Raw genomic sequence first — 22,869 nt, 5'->3', positions numbered from 1 at the left:
AGGCAGAGGTTGCAGTGAGCCGAGATTGTGCCACTGCACTCCACCCTGGGCAACAAGAGTGAAACTCCATCTCGGAGGGGGGAAGAAGTGATGGAGGAAGAGAAGAGGAGGTGCAAGGAAGAGAAAGAACCATTTGAATGTAAATTGCCAGGGGATATGACTTTGTATGCTTTATTTCTGCCCTATAGTGATAAGCATATTGAGGGTAATAACAAATATTAGAATGACATCATATCATAAATCTTCACAATCTCTCCTTGAATGCACAAAAGAGAGGGGAACTATCTCTGGTCTCAGTGAGTGAAGGCACCAGATATGAGAATGTTAAGAAATGGAAGGAGAAGTGGTCAGGGCAGGGTAAAAGGGCCAACGGTCCCTGACAAGGTTTCAACTACTAGATATGTGGAAAGAAACAGACAGACGGTCAGACACTGGCCTTTATAGCTTGAAATACTCCTCCTCCAAGGTCATACATAGATTTTTGAGCTCATTTCTCTATTGTGGTCACACTTTTCTGTAACTCAGCCCCCTTGGCAGATGACGCTATACGTTTCAGGGTCAGGATACAGGAGTAGGTCTTGGGGTCATGAAACAGTGTGAGGGCTACTGGCCTAGTAGGGACTGAACCAGGACCCTACCTCATAAGTACCAGATCCTTGGATTAGCAAACTCATACACTAAAAAAATAAAATAAGATACCTTGAATGGCATTCCATTGCCACTGAAGAATAAAGCGAGCACTCACAGGACTGGTATGTGAGGCCCTATATATGCAGGCTCCAGGGTCATTTCAACCTTGTGTCTCATAATTTCCTGCATCCTCTGTGCCTACTTAGGGTTTCCTCTAGCGTGTGTCCTGGAATCTTCTGGCTCCTACCCCTACACTGTGCATATGCTGGTTCCTCTGCTTCAAATACCCGCATTCATGTGTCTGGATGCTTCTCGTCCTCAAAGGTGGGCTGAAATGCCATCTCCAGCAATCAATCCATCCATCAATCAAAGACTTAACCAACCACACTGATTAAGTGTTTTCAACTTCAAGGCACTGGGTTTAAGCAAACAGGAAGGACTAAGACAAAGCCCCGGGCACAGAGAGGCTCTCTGTGTACTTTCTTGTACCTTCATATTAATATTTTTAAAATCTTGTATTTTTACTCATGTACTCATGGATAAGATTCTTGAGACTGATGGCCAGAGATGTGCCTGATTCATCTGAATCCTCCTCATGGAATCTGTGGAGGTCGGTATACTTGCATCTAATAGGTGTGCAATAAATGCCTCTAGAAAGAATCAACTCAAGTTCAGGATCCTAGACGCCTAGGACAGTACCTGCTCCATTCCTAGTGCCTAGCACACAGGAAGTACTCAGTACATATGTGGTGTGGGCAGATGCATTGAAGCAAAGCTGTGAGTGACTTCTCTGGTAGAAACAGAATCACAAAGACATTGGGTGCTTTGTTCAAGGCCAACATGAAGGCCCAAAGTGGAAACCAGAATGTTACACATTCCACCTGATAATGAAAGACAGCAGTGTTTGACAGAGCACGAGAAATCCCTCCTGTGACAAATAACACTCCATTCCCTATCAAACAAAAGAGAGATTCTGCTCTGAGTCACATATTTAAAGAAAACATGTCAGTATCAACAAAATGTCTTTCTCCACACTTAGAGGGGTAATCCACAGAGAAGCACTAAAAACAGATCTGGGCTTTTGTTTATTTTCAGCCTTCTTCTTCTCTTGTGGTGACCCCAGTCCTTTTAACCACACAGTTCAAAGGGTGCAGAGAGATACACTGCAGGAAACCAGGAGGTAGTGACTTTATGATATTTATCTTTAAAATTAAAGAAGTTTAAAAAGCCGCTGCCTGGACCACGACTCAGCGATAAAAAGGAATGAATTATTGATACATAAAAGAACTTGGAAGAATTTCCAGAGAATTATGTTGAGTTAAAAGAGCCAGTCCCCCAAAGGGTACATCTGGATGATTCCGTTTATATAAAATTATTGAAATGATAAAATTATAGAAATGGAGCTGAGGTCAGTGGTTGCCAGGCATCAGAGATGGAGAATGGGAGGGAGGAGGGAAATGGATGCGACTGTGAAAGGGCAACCTGGGGAGCCTTGTGATGATAGAGCTGTTCTGTGTCTTGACTGCTGTCAACGTCAATATCCTGACTGTGATGTTTTGCTATAGTTTTGCAGGATAGTACTATTGAAGGAAACTGGGTAAAAGATATTAAGTATTATTGTCTCACAAGTACATGTGAATCTACAATTATCTCAAAATTAAAAGTTTATTATTTTCTAAAACAATCTTGAAAAAGAAGAACAAAGTTGAAGAATTCACATTTCCTGATTTCAAAATTTACTTTACAAAGCTACAGTAATCAAACAGTGCGTTACTGCCATAAAGACAGGCATAGACCAATAGAATAGAAAAGAACACCCAGAAATACACTCTCACAAATATGGTGAAATGATTTTCAACGAGGGTGCCAAGACCATTCAATGGGGGAAAGGACATTTTTTTCAACAAATGATGTTGGGAAAACTGGATATCCACATGCAAAAGAATGAAGTTAGACCCATTTCTTATGCCATATATAAAAATGAACTGAGAATGAATCAGAGGCCAAAATATAAGTGCTACAGACCTTTACAAATAAATGCAGAAAGAAAGTTTCATGACATTGAATTTGGCAATGATTTATTGGATCTGACACCAAAAGCATGGGCAATAAAAGAAAAAATAAATGAACTGGACTTCATCAAAATTAAAAACTCTGTGTATTACAGGACACAGTCAACGGAATGAAAAGGAAACCTATGGAATGGTAGAAAATATTTGCAAATGATATATCTGATAGGGGGTTGATACCCAGAATACATAAAGAACTCCTACAACTCAACAACAACAAAAATAACCCAATTTTAAAAATGGGCAAAGGACTTGATTAGACATTTCTCCAGAGAAGATATACAAATGGCCAGCAAGCATACACAAAGATGCTCAACATCATTAATCATCAAGGAAATGCAAATCAAAACCACAATGAGATACCACCTGACCCATATTAGGATGGCTACTATCAAACAAAATCGAAAATAACAAGTATTGGTGAGGATGGGGTGAAACTGGAACCCTTGTGCACTGTTGGTGGGAATGCAAAATGGTATCGTTGCTATGGAAAACGGTACAATGGTTCTTCAAAAAACCAAAAAGAGAATTACAATACAATCCAGTAATTCTGCTTCTGGGCATATACCGAAAAGAACTGAGAGCAGGGTCTCGAAGAAATAGCAGCACACCCACGTTCCTAGTAGCATTATTCATCATAGCTAAAATGTGGAAGCGACCCAAGCGTTAATCCATGGATGAATGGATAAACAAAATATGGTATATACATACACTGGAATATTAGTCAACCTTAGAAAAGAAGGGAATTCTGACCCATGCGACCACACAGATGAACCTTGAGGACATCATGCTAAGTGAAAGACGCCAGCACAAATAGACAAATTCAATTACATGAGGTACCTAGAGTAGTCAAATTCATAGAGACAAAAAATTAGAATGGCGGTTTCCAAGGGCTGGGGGGAAGGAGAGATGAAGAGTTATTATTTAACGAGCATAGAGTTTCAGTTTTGCAAGATGAAAAGAGTTCTGGAGATAGGTTGTGCAATGATGTGAATGTACTTACCTCAACTAACTGTACACTTAAAAGCAATAAAAATGGTAAATTTTGTTTGTGTATTTTATCAAAACGAAAAAACAAACAAACAAACCCTGGAACAACAACAAAGTTTAATTAAAAAGAAAAAGCCACAAAGCCACTGTCTTCCTGATCCAAGTCCTTGTCGCTGTGTCTTAGTTTTCCAAACCAATGGGATGAGAAAAGGAGCCCATTACTTAACAAGACCTCAGAGACTGCTAAAGTCTGGAGATACCTGAGCATCAAGCTTTTCTAATGCCTTTAATTAACTTCATATCCATTTGATTCATATTCCCTCTGCCTGGTTGTTAATTCACCTGAAGTTACTATAAACTTTTCAGTAATGATTCAAAATATGCTACTTATTTACCTTTGCACTTGACCTTAGGTAAGCAGCAAGTGGAGAAGTCAAAACCACAGATTAGAGAAATGGAAAATGGAGCCCTTTTCTCCCCAGAGCTGTCATTTTTAATTTGTCTATTTCTGCTAGACTCCAAGGTTAGCGAGGGCAGGACTTATCCTCTTTTTGTGTTTTACCACATATAGATGCTCAATGAACTTTTGTTGACTGAGTGAAGTTGTAAGCACAGCCACATGTGTTCCGCCCAGAAATGTTTACGTTGACATGTCCCCTCTTTTCAAACATGACTGACGTGGGGGCTTATGTAATTTACTATGAAGAAAATAACGGGCATTTCCAAGGAAAGTTCATGGATTAATAACTGCTTGTGAGAAGGCGAGAGAAATACACATTCTATAACAATTCTGGTTTAGCAGTGTTCACTACTGGTTAGACGTCCCTACAAAGTTGAAAAAAAACAACGGAATCGAGGTTAGTTTGCACACTTTGCACAGACCCCCATCCACACACATAACCCCCAGAAACGCAATTATATAAAGTGCAAGTTGAAATCCCTCAGATGGAATGCTAAACTTCCTTCCAGCTCTTCACCAGTGAGCCGCAAAGTCACCTTTACAATTTTATTTCGACCAGAGCAACATCATTTTTCATAATTACAGAGTTTTAATTTATTTTATGTGAGTGTCCAGCCATTGATGTATTGCGCTAATTAAGTGAAACTTGGTTAAAAAACCAAAGACACAAAAGGGAATTTTGGTAGAAAGTAAAATAGAGAATTTTTTTAAGGAACCCAAAGTAGTATGAGTTGTGGTCATGGTCATTCAAAGACAGGTTTTCCCCTCAACCACACAAAAATAGGGTCTGACCTGTAAAGCCTGGTTGGTTCTGTTCCCCTTGTTCTCCTTGGGTCTTCCTCCTCCTGATGTCTTCTCGACAGCCACTGGACACTGTTCCTGGAATGGAGAACATCCCTTCAACATCCAGATGGGTGGTAAATTCAAAGTGTGCAACAAACATAAAAGAGAAGGTAGGACCAGGCAGTCACAAACATTTATTTTTGGTTAAACCTTTTTTTTTTGAGACGGAGTCTCACTCTGTCACCCAGGCTGGGAGTGCAGTGGCGCGATCTCGGCTCACTGCAACCTCCGCCTCCCGGGTTCAAGTGATTCTCCTGCCTCAGCCTCCCGAGTAGCTGGGATTACAGGCATGCGCCACCACACCCCACTAACTTTGTATTTTTAGTAGAGGCAGGGTTTTGCCATGTTGGTCAGGCTGGTCTCGAACTCCTGACCTCAATTGATCCACCCGCCTCGACCTCCCAAAATGCTGGGATTGCAGGCGTGAGCCACCATGCCCGGCGGTTAAGACTTACAATACCAAAAATGTCACTTTACCTGGTTTCTCTCATAATCAGAAGGGTCGCAAGCTGTGAAGGGGTGGATACACCTTCTTGCACTTTTACACCACGCGCAGCCAGTTTCTACGCATGCTGGGCATCTAGCAACACAGAAAACTGACTTAATTCCTGCGTTTTAGGACAATGTTCACATCCTAGAATTTCCCTCTGTGATGTGGCATGCAAGCATTTAAAAGAAGGCAAAAAAAAAAAAAAATCCCTGGACAGACATTCCTGTGAGGCTTTGTGCCCTGCTCTTGGAAGCCCTCAGGTTGATGGGCCGGAATGGCACCTGCAGGGGTGTTGCCATGGAAACCTGAAGCTGGGTCACCTGCTGGTCTGTAGATAATAGGAACCCAATGAATCTGTTTCTGAATCCAGTTCTGCTATTTGTCTACCCTCAGGTAAGTCCCTCTGGAGATGGATCTCTCTCTCTCCCCGCCTCTACCCACTCTGCCTTCCAAAATCAGGAAGCCCTCACTCACTCCAGCAGTCACACTGCCAACTGCCTGGAAGATGTGAGACAGAAAGTGTTAGCTGGCAAGCAGAGGCAACGAGGTGCCTGTGTTTGCTTTATAATCAAATTAAGGAAGAATTGTGTTTCTACTAATCAAATCACCTATCATGATTGGGTAAACTGTGGAGGACTTGAAAAGCACTTATGAGAAGGAATGTTAAAAAGGGAAATCAGGGTTGATCTGGAAACAGGGCCAAGGGAGGCCAGAGGAAGCCTTAGCTCTAGCAAGGGGTGCTAGCACAGGGCCGGGGGACCCAGTTTGTTTTATACCTTCTCCAAGAAATGAGGAAACATTCTGAGATTCTGATCTACAGAAACTGCAGTTTCCGTGGAAGGAGAGGACACACTGGCTTTTGCGTGGATCCGGCCACCTAAGTGAGCTAGACACGGGTTTGTGATTTGCTCGCTTCTTCTACCCCCAGGGTGTGATTACTGTACTAAGTGCTTTCCTAACAGGAAGCAGTTACCTATGGAAAGGGCGCTCACCCTCCCTGGGGGACCTAGGTCTGAGGTCTGGTTCTTAATTACCAAGTTGTGGGACCTGGGGCTAGTCGGTTCCTTTCATCTGGCCTTAAAGTGGGCATCGGGGGAGCTACGTTCTTTCAACTGTCTTTGAGCTATATAATTCTATTTAATTCACACCCTTTTTTCCTATTTTCATGAACTTCTGAGGCTTTCTGTAGCAATTTTTGTATTTTTTTCTCCTTAAATCCATTCTGTTTCTTAGCAATAATTGAACTGGGCCTTGTGTCATCTTTTTCAAAGTGCCTCAGTGGAAGAGATGAGGCCCAGGGGCTCCTGTTCTAATCATTCAAGAGCAGCCTCCTAGCTCAGCTTCAAGTTCAAATTCATTTTCCCCATAGAAACCATGGTTCCCAGGCCAGGACAAAAGAAACTCCCATTTGGTGCTCACATAACTGGTCAATCAAACTATGCAGTGATCTACAGCACTGCTACTCATGCAGCCTCCCAAGGTGCCCTGCAGGCCTCCATCCCAACTTCCAATTGGCAAGTCAGGCATCTGAGAAACATATTTCCTCTGTCCTCTTGCTGCTTTAGAAGCAAGGAGTGAGGTTTGGCACTAACTCAGGGGCCTATGTAGCTCAAAGAGGCCAAAGATGGTGAAAAGGGGGGCAGCAGGAACATGTTCTTTTGGTGAAAGGGACTTCACCTTGTCCTTCTCAAGTAAGACTTTTTACCCCTACACTCAAGGCTTCTCGTTCCGCCCAAATTCCCGAAGCCATTCCAATCAGAAGAGAACCTAGCAGCGCTCCTTCTTTTTGTTGAGACAATCTCACTCTGTCACTCAGACTGGAATGCGGGGCGCCATCCCGGCTCACTGCAACCTCCATCTCCTAGGCTCAGGTGATCCTCCCACCTCAGCCTCCCAAGTAGCTGGGACTACAGGCACATACCACCATGCTTGGCTAACTTTTGTGTTTTTTTGTAGCGATGGCGTCTCACTATATTGCCCAGGCTGGTCTCAAACTCTCCTGGGCTCAAGCGATCTGCCCACCTCAGCCTCCTAAAGTGCTGGGATTCCAGATGTGAGCCACCACACCTGGCTTGTCCCTTCTTCTTTACTTACTTCAAGGCTGCCTCTCGGTCCTGGGAAGACATATTTCCCTGTGGGTATGAACACTTAAGCACAGGGGATTTCTCTCCCTCGCAGCGCCAGCTTACTAGTCAGGGCTAGAATGTGCGAGCGGAGCTTATTAGCTCGGTGGCTCTCCTATCTCCCATTACACCATGCTTCAAAAGGCATTTTGGAAAGTTCTGTCTCACAAAAGAGTTCTTTAGGAAATCGAGGAGTCAAACAAATAAGTAAATTAAGATCAACGAGAGAATATTCAAATTTCAAATAAAATCTTACTCTTTTAATGATGAGCAGTTGGTAAAGTTGAATCTGTCTGATAAATTCCAAGAACCGAAGGAGAACATCACGTTGACAACTGAAACATCTGGAGGGAAGGGGGGAAAATGTCATTTACGGTGGAGTCCTGCTATAGTCAAGCATAGCTGTAAATGCAAAAAAAGATAAATATTTTTGCTTCCTCTGCATAGTGGGCAGGAGCGTGCCAGCTGTTTGCTAACATTTCAATCAGTATGTGGTTCCTTCCCCATAGGCCATTCGCATCAGGCAGCCGAAGTGCACAGCTCAAGCCTCCAAACAGACTGAACCCACCTCGAGTTCCAAGCCTCCCATGAATAATCACTAGGAAGAAGCCATTTTACAGCTCATTTACATCTCATACTCTCCTAGGGATCACTATCTCAGCTTTTAATTGGCCAAGGCATAAGAACAAAACAAGTCACCGAGCAAGAAGTGCCTAGAACATGAAAACCGGAGCATTAGAAATCCTGCACCTTCAGAAAAATCCACGCTGCAAATATTTACCTAACATACTCTAAAGTGTAGTTTCCATGGGCTGGGTTCCACGATCTTCTTGGGGTCAACTGTCACCAAATCTGTGATAAAGGTTTTCTTATTTGCCTTTGAAAACCTACTCATTGGTTAGAAAACCCCAAAAGAACAAAATAACAAGGATTTCAAAACTACTAAATCAGCATTAGAGAAATGTAGTATTTCCTGTATCTCTTTAAACATATATGCTCTATCCAAGGTAGTGATTCCCAAACCCAGTTCTCTATCAGAATCACCTGAGAAATTTACAAAGCTATAGATCCCAGGGCCATGCCCCTAAATATTCTGATTTAGCAAGCCTGGGGTGGACCCAGGAACCTGTGGTTGCATTGCTCCCCATGGAACAATTGTATAGAGCCCAGGTTTGGGGCCACAACACAGAATAGCACCTTTCAAATCCCCTTCTGTCCACGGACCAGTGCTAATAACAAGGTATTAATATCTTTTTCCTTTGGTGAATTAATAGGAATAGGAGGTGGTACTATTTATTTGTTTGTTTATTTATTTATTTTAGTTGAGACGGGGTTTCACCATGTTGGCTAGGCTGGTCTTGAACTCCTGACCTCAAGTGATCTGCCCGCCTCAGCCTCCCAAAGTGCTGGGATTACAGGCGTGTGCCACCATGCCTGGCCGAGAGGGTGCTTTTTAAATCTAAGTCTTGACAAAATAAGAAGCTGGCTTGACTCCGTTGGCAACCCTAATTTTCTCATTGAAATTTTATTAGTGTGTGGTTCCCAAAGTCTAAAAACCCTTACTTTAAGGTCCTTCTCCACAGCAATAACACTCCCTCTGAAAGTCAGAATTCCACATAAAATTCGGTTCACGTACAGAGGGTGTGTGTGAAATGATCATCTTCTGTTCTCAAGACAAAGAGGCTTGGAGGGCTGGCATGACCTCTCTGCAAAAGCCTCTGAACAGACACTTGATACATGTGAGTAGAATGAACACAGGGACAGTCAGCTCAGAGGGACTCCCAGTGAAAATACACTCCAGTGGAATCTATAAGTGTCCGGTGATGAAGACTGCAAAAGTCATACTTTTTTTCAAGCACCAAATAGGCACAAAACTCTATTTGGAAATATCACAAGGAAATGAATATTCATGATTTCTTCTAGGAAAGCATTTACAGTTATTCTGGAAGAGGTAAAATAATTTAGGTGATGACAGCACAGTCAAGGAAACAACCATATGAGTGGTTTCAGTTCCCTCTGGTAACCTGGGTGCCAAGATAGGGGTGTGCATGGAGGACCAAAGGGGTGTTAGAATGGCTGAGAAAGTCAGAGCAGAATCTGGCAAGGGCATGTGGAAGAGGTGACTTTTCTCCAATGTTTCAAAGCAGAAAGGGAGACAGGATTTTGTGAAAGGGGGAAGCCATTCTAGGTTTAAAGAAGGCCATGGATAAAGGCTTGGCAATGGTCACCGGCTGGCTGAGTACAAGAGGCTGGGAAGCAAATTTGTTTGCCCGTTCAGAATATGTAAGATATTCAGAAAACGGCAGGTGAAGGGTTGGGTGCAACGGATGGAGGCGCTAAAAGCAACCAACTAGCTTTACAAGGTGATCTCAAATACTTTAGAGGCATATTTTATAGGTGAGCAAGGTCTGCGTTTTAATGAACAAAATTAACCAGAAATGCATCACAAAGGCTGCACAGTGTGGACAAAGTAAAGTGGAAAATTGAGGTGATTTTCCAAGCAATCAGACCCAAACAGCCACCACCCAGTGGCTGAGAGCATTTTTAAGCTCACTTCTCTGGCCTGGTGCATTAAATTGCCTTTTGAAGGATTTAGGATCAATTGGGTGCTATGGTCAGAATATTTATGTCTCCCCTAAATTCATAAGTTGGAATCTAATACCCAATGTGATAGTATTAAGCCACGGGGCCTTTGTGAAGTGATTAAATCATGAGGGCTGCACCCTCATGAATGTGATTAGTGTCCTTATAGAAGAGGCTTAAGAGAGCTCCCCTGCCCCTTCTGTATGTGAGAATACAGCAACAAGGCACCATCTGCGAAGTCAGAGGCCAAGCCATTACCAGACACTGAATCTGCTGGAGCCTTGACCTTGGACTCCCCAGTCACCAGGGCTGTAAGCAATACATTTCTATTGTTTATAAATTATCCAGTCTAAGGTATTTTGTTATAGCAGCCAGAATGGACTAAGATATTGGGTAACTCCAGCTCTCACCATAAAACCCACTCAGCTCCATTAATGATCATCACTCAGTCCTGGAGACCTACTCCATGAACTCAACTCTACTTCTAGTCTTTCTCATTCGAAGAGACTCAGGAGTCCTCAGTCTGCCCACCGTACCTACTGACCATCTATTGAATCCACTTCTCTCCATCCCCCTTGGCTTCTCCTCCAGCTCTCACTTTCCCTCTCACCTGGACCCTCCAGTAGCTTTCCGCTTTCACTTTCTCTCTCACTTGGACCCCTCCAAGTGATCTGTTGGAACTCAGTCTTTCAGTCTTTCCCTTCTTTGGTCCATTCTCCACCTTCAAGCCATTCATTCATTCAAGAAACATTTATTGATTGTGAATGCCTACGTTGTGCCAGATACTGTTCTAAGCACAGCAGTGAAGATGTCTTCTCCAAGTCCCTGCCTCCATGGGGCTTACATTCCAGCAGGAAAGACAGACAATGCACAATGGAACCTTTCTGTAATAAAAATCTGATTGTGCTGCCAGCCTCCGGCTTAAACCTTTCAGTGTTTCATCACAGCTCGCAGGATTCACGGTTCACAAGGCCCTTCATGGTCCCCTGGCTGCCTCCTTTGGTATCTATCTTCCCTCCGTCTCCCCTTTCCACCTTCCCCTACCCCATGTGCCTTGGCCATGTAGAAGCTCTTCTGGTTCTTCAAATAAAGCTTTTTGTCTCCTGGCCATCATGCAGGTTGGTCTCTGTCTGAAATACCCATCCCCATCGTCTTTGTCTGGCTCAACTCTACCCTCACCTTGTCTGGACATCACTTCCTCCAGGAAGCTTTCCTTACCCCTTCCCCCTCCACCATGTCTGGTAAGGTACATTTTTCATGTGCTTCTCATGGTACTCTATGTTCCCTGTATTTACACACTGCATTGTAATGAGCTACTTACTTCTCTCTATCCCAGTGTACAGTCTTTTTTTTAGGGGCAAGGGGGAGTCACTGTATCCCTAGTACCTAGCATAGTGCCTCACATATAGTAGATGTTCAGTAAATACTTCCTGGATGGATGTATGAATGCAATGAACTCAAACTGATGGAACATTGGTTGTTAAAATTTCTCATCTCACCCAGGGCATTTCTTGCTTTTCAGATCTCTGAATTATCTAAACCATTTGGGTAGTCGGCCCAGTGCTATCTGGCTTTTCTGCACTCTCCTATCCAACTTGCCCTTCTCTTGTCATTGTCCAGGCATATCTGATAGTGGGGTCTTGGAGTAAATGAATGAGGTAAACCAGAGGTGAGGAGGACCCAGAGCAAAAGTGGGAACCAGGGGGTAGTGAGGGAGTGAGTCTACAGAGGGGGAACTATTCATATTCCTTGGGCAAACTAAACTCAGGAGGTTCCCTTGTTTTTTTGATTTTATAACAAAAATAACCCAGAAGAATCCACATACCTTTGTAGGTTGCTCTGGTTGGGATGCTACAGGTGCAGGTCCGGTTGGGCTGACTTTTATTCTGGCAGAGCTCCCTGCTAGAGTCCACATTCTTCACCATGCACTTTGAGTGTCTTGGAGAGAAGCTTCCCACCATAGTCACTGTAGTCTGTGCGGGGAAGATATGGGGAAAAAATGATGATTTTTGCCTCATTTCCATCCATCATAGAGCCTCATATGATCTCACCCTTTGACCTGCCACAGGAGGGAGAATTTCTCAGAAGAGCTGATGTAAAGAATAGATGTTTCTGGGTGACAGAGCAAGACACTGCCTCCATAAATAAATAAATAAATAAATAAATAAATAAATAAATAAATAAAAATATAAAAGAATAGATGTTTTGTTGGCTATTTGGTTTGCTCTTCTGTAAAGAGCATATTCTTATTCTTTGACCATTTTTCTGCTTTGTGTGTATATTTTTCTTATCAATTTTCAAGAGCTCTCTGTATGGTGTAGATATTAATCTTTATCTGTCATATTTCTGACACATATTTTTCTCCTAATCTATTGTTTGTCTTGTAACTTTTGCTTGTGGCATCTTTTACCCTTACACAATGTGCTTTTGAGTAATCAAATACAGGGTTTCTTGTCTCGGCTATAAAGTGCTTCCCAAACTCTAGCTTATGGACAAATATAAAATTGTTCCAACATCTTTATTGCTTTATTTTTTAAGCTTATATCTTTAATCCATCTGGAATTTATTTTTATATACAGTGTGAGATAAGGGTCCAACTTTATCCAGATGGTTAATCAATTATGTCACAGCCATTTATTAAACAAAAACAAACCTCCTTTTCCCACTGAACTGAAATATCATTTTGTCCTATATTAAATTTCCATTTATCTGGAATCTATTTCTGAACTCTGCTCTGCTCTAATAATCTATTGATCTACTTCTATTCCAATGCCATTAAGTTTTTACTCCTGTAATTTTAAATATATTTAGCATCTGATAAGGCAAATCTCTCCTGCTTTATCTCTATTTTCATAATTTTCTTACCATTTCCTGAGCATTATTCATCTATATTCATTTTATCCAAAGGGGTTGAGGGGACTGAGTCTAAATGAAATTGTATTAAATATATGCCTTAATGTTAGAAAAATTTCTGTCTTTATGATATTAATTATTCCCATCCAAACACATGACTTTTTTCATCTGTTTCTCTTTGATCTGGGGTTCATTTAAGACAGCGTGCCTTGATGATCCTAGGTGTGAAGATACATTTGTCAACTATTCCTTATTGCTAATATTGTTAGATAATGATTAAAGAAGGTGGCCTGTGAAATGTGCTTTAGAATTAGTTAAGGTTTTGCTTGTGGTCAAACATATGATCAAAATTGGGTGGAGGGAGTGTTTTTGTGTGTGTATGTTTGTATGTGTACAGGGATACATCTGTGTGCCTGTACGTGTGTGTGTGTGTGTGTATAGTAGGGACACAAAAAGACAATCTTGAAATGTCCCCAAAGTAACTTTTTCCCAAGGAAATGGTCCAAAGGAACAAGGCAGCCAGGTGTCCTGTTCAGAAGGGAAATTATAGGAATTAACATGCCAACAGTGGACTCCTTTTGCATCAGGCGCATGATGGGATCTGATGGGAATGAGCGCTAAGTAAAAGGAACCTGGGAGTGCAGGAAGTGGTAACCTTATCACCCCCTATGAAGAGCCATAGTCTAGACAACCTGGCAGCTCTCTGTCTTCTGTTATACTTCTCACTTCCTCCCAGACTTAGGCACTGCCACCTAAGACTCTGCTGTCTCCCTGGTTCTTTGATAAGCTTGCTAAGTCTAATCTAGTCCCCGGAGGTCACCCCTATCTTCCCATTTTCAAAAAGTTCTGGCCATATTATCATGCTGGAAGAAGGCAAGTTCTTTCAGTCCACTTCACCTGGACTGGAGTTCAATTATCTTTAGGGAATTCTGAGCACAGTGAAAGATCCCAAACCATTCCCACTAACTCATCTTCAACAAATGCCTGAACTCTCATTCATGCTCAATCTTCAACGCAGCATTTATATCCGCACCACACATCTTATCTTGTATACATATATGTCTTAAATTGAATTCACACTCAAACGTTATAACAAGAGTATCAGAATTTTTAAAAATCACATTTTCACCAACTCTTTTAAAGTTTCCACATTTCCTTCTAGTTCTCACATATGTAGCTTTTACATAACTATAATTATTCCATTTATTTATTCCATAAATGTTCATCAAGCTTGCAACATGTGCCAAGTGCTGCACAATGTACTGAATATACCAGTGAACCAAACAGCTATGGTCCTTGCCCTCAAAGAGCTTATAGACTAGTAGAAGTATAGAACATTCCACCAGAATAAAACTGGAAGGTCACATGGTATCAAGGAATCATCAAGAAATGACTGAGCTAAGATGGTACAATGAAAAGGGAAAGAACGAGGCAGTCAAGGTACCCCTTAGAAGTGGCATGGGGCAGGACTGGAAGTGGGGGATGTGGATATGGAGGATGCTGGTGAGCAAATGGGATGGATGGAGGTACCATACATGGAGATGGGGCATACTGATGGAGAGGCAGATGGGTAGAAGATTCAAGACTTCAGCTTTAGGTGTATGTAGTTCAAGATACTTGTGTGATACTCAAGCAAATGTGTCAAGTTGGGTATGGGCCTGGAGCTCAGAGGATCAATCTGGGGTGGGGATAAAGGAGACATGAACATACAGATGATTTATAAAGCCATGGAAGTGAATAAGATTGTCTACAGACGAAATGTAGAGTAAGAAGAGAGGAAGAGCCAAAACTGGGCCTTAAATGGCTCCAATATTTAGAGACAGGGAGGGAAGGGACCAGCAAGGCCCAGCAAGGGAATTGAGGCCTGGCCACAGAGAAGGAGGAGAGCATGGAGTGGGCGTGCCATGGAAAGCAATGGAAAAGACAGTTTCAAGAATGCTGGCTAACAGCCAAGTTAGATGAGGACCTTACAGTGTCCGCTGGAATGGCTGCATGGAGTTCACTAGTGACCTTAGCAAGAACAGGTTCAGGGGAACACTGGGGCAGAAACCAGGTTGGAGTGGACCTGAAAAGAGGAGACAGCATGTTTTTTTCAGGTGCAGTGGAAGGAGAGAGGAGCCAGTGAGGTGAAGGTATTTTTGCGTAACTTGGGGTCCAGGCGAGTACAGTTAAAAAGCTGAAGCTTCGTCCTAAGAAACCCAGTATAGGACTCCTTACCAGGCTGATGGCTTTTTCGTGAATCAAGCTGGATAAAGAGGGAGTGAAGACTTAAAGGGCAGGTGGGATGCAGAGGGAGCTGGGGTGTCAATTAGCCCGCAACATTCACAAGGCCAAAGAATTGCTTGCTGCACAACACTCTTATCAGATCGACATATCTTATTTTACTGAATCATTCGTTATTGCTAAACAGTTTCATTATTTCCAGGTTTCTAATTCTATAAATGCTACGGCAAGAGCATCTTCATGCCTAGGGATTTTCTTCTTTCAAGTTATTTCCTCAGGATTCTAAGGCTGAAATTAATGCTTCAAACGGAATGAATATATTTATGACTTTTGAAACATGCTGCCAAATTGCTTTCCAAAAAGGTTGTGCTAATTGGCATCACCAACACTGGGTGTTAGCATAGCTTATTATCGCTTTAATTTGTATTTATTTGAAAACTAGTGAGGTTGAACATATTTCCATATTTATATCTACTTTCTGAATCTCCTCTTGTGAGAATATATGTGTTTTGGCCCACTTACTTTTTGGTGTATTGATGTTTTTCTTTTTAATTTTTCTTAGTGTTATTACATTATGATGAATATTTTGTTAGTGGCAAATATTTTCCTGAAGTGTGTGCTTTAGTTAACTCTTTTTTTTTTTTGAGACACAGTTTTGCTCTTGTCAGCCAGGCTAGAGCGCAATGGCACGATCTTGGTTCACTGCAACCTTCACCTCCCAGATTTAAGCGATTCTCCTGCCTCAGCCTCCCGAGTAGCTGGGATTACAGACACCTGCCACCACGCCTGGCTAATTTTTTTGTATTTGTAGTAGAGACAGTGTTTCACCAGGTTGGCCAGGCTGGTCTCAAACTCCTGACCTTCAGGTGATCTGCCCGCCTCAGTCCCCAAACTGCTGGGATTACAGGCATGAGCCACCATGCCTGGCCAAGTTAACTCTTATTTTTTGTAAAAGGAAATCATGTATATGAATATTTTTCTTTTGTTATTACATACTATATTGCTTCAGAGGTAAAATAAATGATCATACTTTCAAATTATGTTCAACTTCATTTTCTGTTGGTTCTTCTGTGACTTTGCTTTACATATCAATTTCTTAATTAGTCTAAATTTTATTTTTATATTTAATGTAAAATATGAAATTACGTTTCCATAGTATAAGCCAGTTATCTCACACATTTTATGAAATAATTTTTGTTTCCTCTTATTTTATGATATCTGTTCTTTAAAATTTTTACATCTATTTCTGAGCTTTCCACTATATTCTATGAATCTATATTCCTATTTTTAAACCAGAATCATGGATTAAATTATTTTTGATATCTATCTATCTATCTATCTATCTATCTATCTATCATCTATGTTTGCAATCTAATGGGAGTGGTCTTGCCTAAATTGACTTCTTTTTTTTTTCCAAAATATGTTTTGGATATTCTTGATCAGCTCATGATATTCCAGATGAATTTTATATTAATTTTAAATAAACACTAACTCAAAAATCATTGGAATTACATGAAATCAAGAAAAATAGGTGAGGAAGAAGTGACATTTTTATGATATCTTCTCACCAAGAAATGTAGAACATGCCTGAATATGTTCAAGATGTTTTCCATATATTCTAAGAAAATACTTGGTGTATTTTTGTTTTTATTTTTCTTTATGCTTATGTTTTTAATTAATAAGGTTTTGCTATGATAAATTATAAATAGCCTTAAGGCTGGGCACGGTGGCTCACGCCTGTAATCCCAGCACTTTGGGAGGCCGAGGCGGGCAGATCACCTGAGTTCAGGAGTTCAAGACCAGCCTGGCCAACATGGTGAAACTCCGTCTCTACTTAAAATATAAAAAATTAGCCAGGCTTGGTGGTGGGCACCTGTAATCCCAGCTACTCGGGAGGCTGAGGCAGGAGAATCGCTTGAACCCGGGAGGCAGAGGTTGCAGTGAACCATGATCGCGCCACAGCACTCCAGCCTGGGCAACAAGAGTGAAACTTTGTCTCAAAAAAAAAAAATAGCCTTAATACACCACTGCTCTGCTATCTAACTACTATTACAAAGAACGGCTTAAGCTAAGTTGTTCAAAGCAAAATTACTATTTTTGGTAGCTGACTCCAACACATATCTCTTAGTAAAAATGGTTTTAATGCAGGATATGTACCTTGCTCTTTAAGTTTATGGCTGAGTAGTTCTGTTGTTTTTATGAATAGGACTTTTTATTCATGAAGTTAAAAGTTTGTTTTATTTAACATGTAGTAAGGTTATTGATATTTAAATATTTATTGAACATTCAGCACTTCATTTAACGTTAATTCATTTGAATAATTTTTAAAGCTAACATATTTAGATTCTGCAGATATGCAGCCACTTAAGATGAGTAAGTAATGTTTTTTATATTTAATTCAAATAATAATTTGTATTACTTGTTTCTTGAATTACTGCAGTGGACAGGGCTTTACAAATAATGTCAACAGTATTAGCGATGGTGGAATTCCTTGTTTTAGTTCTGATTTGTAAAAGAATGTTTCTAGGATGGGCATGGTCACTTATGCCTATAATGCCAGCACTTTGAGAGGCTGAGGTGGGAGGATCACTTGAGCCCAGGGGTTTGAGACCAGCCTGGGCAACATAGGGAGACCTTATCTCTATAAAAAATTTTTAAAAATTAGCTGGGTGTGGTGGTTCACACCTGTAGTCCCAGCTACTTGGGAGGCTGAGGTGGGAGGATCCTTTGAGCCCAGGGGTTCGAGGCTGCAGTAAATTATGATCACGTCTCTGCACTCCAGCCTAGATGACAGAGGGAGACCCTGTCAAAAAAAAAAAAAAAGTTTCTAGTGTCTCTCCTCTAGGAACCATATTGTTTAAGGAATACTTTTATTCCAATTAGCCGGGCGTGGTGGCATGTGCCTGTAATCCTAGCTATTTGGGAGGCTGAGGCAGGAGAATCGCTTGAACCTGGGAGGTGGAGGTTGCAGTGAGCCTAGAACGTGCCACTGCACTCCAGCCTGGGTGACAGAGCAAGACTCCATCTCAAAAAAAAAAAAAAAATGTAGAAAGCGGAAACTGGATCCCTTCCTTACACCTGATACAAAAAATTAATTCAAGATGGATTAAAGACTTAAATGTTAGACCTAAAACCATAAAAACCCTAGAAGAAAACCTAGGCAATACCATTCAGGACATAGGCATGGGCAAAGACTTCATGTCTAAAACACCAAAAGCAATGGCAACAAAAGCCAAAACAGACAAATGGGATCTAATTAAACTAAAGAGCTTCTGCACGGCAAAAGAAACTACCATCAGAGTGAACAGGCAACCTACAGAACGGGAGAAAATTTTTGCAATCTACCCAGCTGACAAAGGGCTAATATCCAGAATCTACAAAGAACTCAAACACATTTACAAGAAAAAGCAAACGACCCCATCAAAAAGTAGGCAAAGGATATGAACAGGCACTTCTCAAAAGAAGACATTTATGCAGCCAACAGACATAAGCAAAAATGCTCATCATCACTGGTCATTAAAGAAATGCAAATCAAAACCACAATGAGATACCATCTCACACCAGTTAGAATGGCGATCATTAAAAAGTCAGGAAAAAACAGATGCTGAAGAGGATGTGGAGAAACAGGAACACTTTTACACTGTTGGTGGGAGTGTAAACTAGTTCAACCATTGTGGAAGACAGTGTGGCAATCCCTCAAGGATCTAGAACTAGAAATATCATTTGACCCAGCAAATCCCATTACTGGATATATACCCAAAGGATTATAAATCATGCTACTATAAAGACACATGCACATGTAAGTATATTGCAGCACTATTCACCATAGCAAAGACTTGGAACCAACCCAAATGTCCATCCATGATAGACTGGATTAAGGAAATGTGGCACGTAGGCCGGGCACGGTGGCTCACGCCTGTAATCCCAGCACTTTGGGAGGCCAAGGCGGGCAGATCACGAGGTCAGGAGATTGAGACCATCTTGGCCAACACGGTGAAACCCCATCTCTACTAAAAATACAAAAAATTAGCCGGGTGTAGTGGTGGGCGCCTGTAGTCCCAGCTACTTGGGAGGCTGAGGCAGGAGAATGGCATGAACCTGGGAGGCGGAGCTTGCAGTGAGCCAAGATCGTGCCACTGCACTCCAGCCTGGGCGACAGAGCGAGACTCCATCTCAAAAAAAAAAAAAAAGAAAAGAAAAGAAAAGAAAATGTGGCACCTATACACCATGGAATACTATGCAGCCATAAAAAAGATGAGTTCATGTCCTTTGCAGGGACATGGATGAAACTGGAAACCATCATTCTCAGCAAACTATCACAAAGACAGAAAACCAAACACCACATGTTCTCACTCACAGGTGGGAACTGAACAATGAGATCACTTGGTCACAGGGCGGGGAACATCACACACCGGGGCCTGCCGGGGGGTGGGGGGCTGGGGGAGGGATAACATTAGGAGAAATACCTAATGTAAATGACGAGCTGATGGGTGCAGCAAACCAACATGGCACATGTATACCTATGTAACAAAACTGCACGTTGTGCACATGTACCCTAGAACTTAAAGTATAATAAATAATAACAATAATAATTTTATTTCTGTGTCTTTTCTATTTTTTTTTTTTTTTTTTTTTTTTTGAGACGGAGTCTCGCTCTGTCGCCCAGGCTGGAGAGCAGTGGCGGGATCTCGGCTCACTGCAAGCTCCGCCTCCCGGGTTCACGCCATTCTCCTGCCTCAGCCTCCCAAGTAGCTGGGACTACAGGCGCCCGCCACCACGCCCGGCTAATTTTTTGTATTTTTAGTAGAGACGGGGTTTCACCGTTTTAGCCGGGGTGGTCTCGATCTCCTGACCTCGTGATCCGCCCGCCTCGGCCTCCCAACGTGCTGGGATTACAGGCGTGAGCCACCGCGCCCGGCCGTCTTTTCTATTTTTATTACATATCTCTGCTTTCCTTCTCCACCACATCAGTCATTCCACCAGGGGAGCCCATGTTTACAACCTTGTTTGAATTCTTCTATATTTTTGCCCATGCTCAAATAATCATATAGAGACATATATACATAAACATATACAGGGGCATTTTTTGATCAATATAAGATCATGCTAGGAACACTTTTATGCATCTTGCTGTTTTTACTCAACAAAACCTCACAGAAATCCCTCCAGGACAACTGGAATTGCTCTGATTATTTCTTTTTAATGCTGATCCCATAGTGAGTATGAGGATGTACTATCTTTTAATTGTTTTGTGGAAAGAAATAAAGCTTCTGTGAACAGAGGTTCTTATTATATGGAGGTTTTTCTCTGCCTACAAAGTGACTAGAATGTTACTAGGCATATGATAGGCAGGTAGCAAATAGCCTTTGAATAGAGCTAATAGGTGGAACTGAACACAACCCTAGACTGCCGTCTCCATAGGTCAGGGTCAGGTTTATTTAAACAAAGACCTGAGATTTTCAGGTAAGCCAAAGGTGGCAATAGGGTAGGAAATATTTTGAAATAATGTGATCAAGAGATAGAATCAGATGGCTTATCAACACTATTAAAATAATTAGTCCGAAGTTGGTTTCAAAGGATAGCTTTAGTCAAATTACGAACTTCTTATCTTCTTTGAGAGTGGTGGTGAGCTGGAGAGAGTGAGGCAGTGGCTGTGTGGGAAGTCTCTGGGAAGATTAGGGTAAACCACAGTGGGACTTAGGGCGAGGAAGAAAACACCAGTGGTCGTTTGGGTGGTAAGCAGTTTTGAAATGTACCAGACCAGATATAAACAGTGATTAATTTGTAATAGTGAGCCCCTAGCTAGGTACGGAAGTTGTATAAGCAGCACTTTTAATTTAATGAACAAGCTACTTCCTCCCACTACATTTAGCTGAAGTATTATCCTTAAATTTTTATAAATAACATAAGAAAAAAAATCTTCCAGAATTTTAACCACTTATCAGAGTCCTGGGTATATTCAAGGATTATGGTATTCTACTTTCTACTATTCTCTATTAGCGCCAAATTTGGCTATTTTTCAGACTGATGAGAGAAATTAGAATTTGGATATACCTATGTTTAGATGCCTAAGAATCTTTTCCACCAAATCTATTCACTCTGATTCAGGACTGGTAGAAGTTTGTATGAAAGTTATTATTATTATTTTTTTTCTCCAGGAAGACAACAGAAAGTGACAACAGCCAAATAACTTTAAATCTGTTCGTTCTGATCAGTTACAACTTAGAAGCTTGATTATTTTATTATTTATCACTCATTAAATACTTTGGCTCTCCTTTATTAAATGTTAAATCATCGTAAGTGGTAAAGTTCTTGCTATTTCTCTGAAATGGCAAAGTGTAAGGGAAAAGAGAAAGTGGCCCATTTCCTTGTTAATATGGCATTCAAACAGAACACAGTGAGCTCAACAGACAGGTCAGCTGGCTGCTGTACAGTTATTCATAACAGAGGACTCTGTACAATTATTCATAACACAAGAGCCGTCATTAGGGAGAAAATGCCTCCTTATAGCACCACTGAGACTGCAAGGCAGGAATTCCCTTTTTCCGTAGGGCACGGTTGGCGTGTGCATTTGAAAATGCTTAAATATGCTCCTTGCTCCCTTCTCTCATCCAATGACAGGACTGATGTGTTGTCAAGAGTGGTGCTGCCATAGCAAGGGTCCACTGGCTTTCCAAAGGACCTCACTTGCAATGGTCACTGCCCATGTTGGTCTTCTCTCCATCGCTACCAAGACTGTTGGAAGCTATGTTCATAAGATGGTTACTGGGGAAGCCTCAACACATTAGGATAAGGGACCATTACACTAAACAAAATTCTGCAATTAAGCCACCTTTAAGGTATCTCGTTGACCATGAATCTGAACCTCTTTTTTCTTTATTTTCAAAAGCAATATGTATTTCTACAACATTAGAAGTCCAACTTTTCTTCCAGTTCAACCATTGAGGGTCATCTTCAGCTCCACAAGACGACAAACTCCATGAGAGCAGGCCCATGATGTGACTTGGTTACCGCTGTATCCCCAGCACCTTGCAGAGTGGATGGCATCTGGTGGGCACTCAATATTCGTTAATGAGTGCTAAATGAATGGAGTGCTATCACTAAGCATGTTTGATTGCTAATGGATATTTTACACACAGAAGAAATTTAGCATCCGCTGTGCAAAATGAGACAATACAACGAGGACAAATTAAAATCTTTCCTCTTACCTTTTCTTTACTGCTTCGAATTATCTGAATTTTAGGGCACTTTTTTGCTCCAGACGAAATATCCAGCCAGTTTTCTAAGTTCTCTGAATGTACACAATCTCCTTGAAAAGTGCACCTAAAAAAACGAGGCAACAAAACAGCGACCCCATACGTGTGTTAGTTAAAACAGCGACCCCATACGTGCATTAGTTAAAACTTTCTTATACTTGGCTTCAGTACAAAATGCCAGACCTTGTACAGTGGATTATTGATTTGAGCGAGAATAGGAACATGATGCTAAAACCATGAAAAGCAACAAGAAAACAGCAGAGCATTTTTTTCCATCATGTCTAGGAGCAAAGAACAAATGTAGACAACATGGTGAACTTCGACTCCTGAGCCATCTCTCAAGATGACA

General features: G+C 41.5%; 1 protein-coding gene across 5 annotated transcripts in view, besides 1 other annotated feature; it reads right to left on the bottom strand.

Annotated features, from left to right (window-relative positions):
* PLXNC1 (plexin C1) overlaps positions 1-22,869 on the bottom strand; it is a 159,099-nt gene that overhangs the window by 75,499 nt on the left and 60,731 nt on the right. For all 5 annotated transcript variants that reach the window (NM_005761.3, XM_006719186.5, XM_047428050.1 and 2 more), the window contains exons 5-9: positions 22,473-22,587; positions 12,014-12,161; positions 7,862-7,949; positions 5,470-5,572; positions 4,942-5,028 (exon numbers count right to left, since the gene is read on the bottom strand). In NM_005761.3, coding sequence (NP_005752.1) covers positions 4,942-5,028; positions 5,470-5,572; positions 7,862-7,949; positions 12,014-12,161; positions 22,473-22,587 — 541 coding nt within the window. The remainder of the gene's footprint in view (positions 1-4,941; positions 5,029-5,469; positions 5,573-7,861; positions 7,950-12,013; positions 12,162-22,472; positions 22,588-22,869) is intronic.
* Positions 1,320-1,599: an enhancer, noted in NCBI's record as "active region_6782". NCBI's record gives its function as "activates an Ori minimal core promoter by ATAC-STARR-seq in GM12878 lymphoblastoid cells {active_cell/tissue: GM12878}" and the evidence as "EXISTENCE:reporter gene assay evidence [ECO:0000049][PMID:35858748]".

Source organism: Homo sapiens, chromosome 12 (genome assembly GCF_000001405.40).
Source record: "Homo sapiens chromosome 12, GRCh38.p14 Primary Assembly".
Classification (NCBI taxonomy): domain Eukaryota; kingdom Metazoa; phylum Chordata; class Mammalia; order Primates; family Hominidae; genus Homo; species Homo sapiens.
This window is presented reverse-complemented; position numbering and strand designations above follow the sequence as displayed.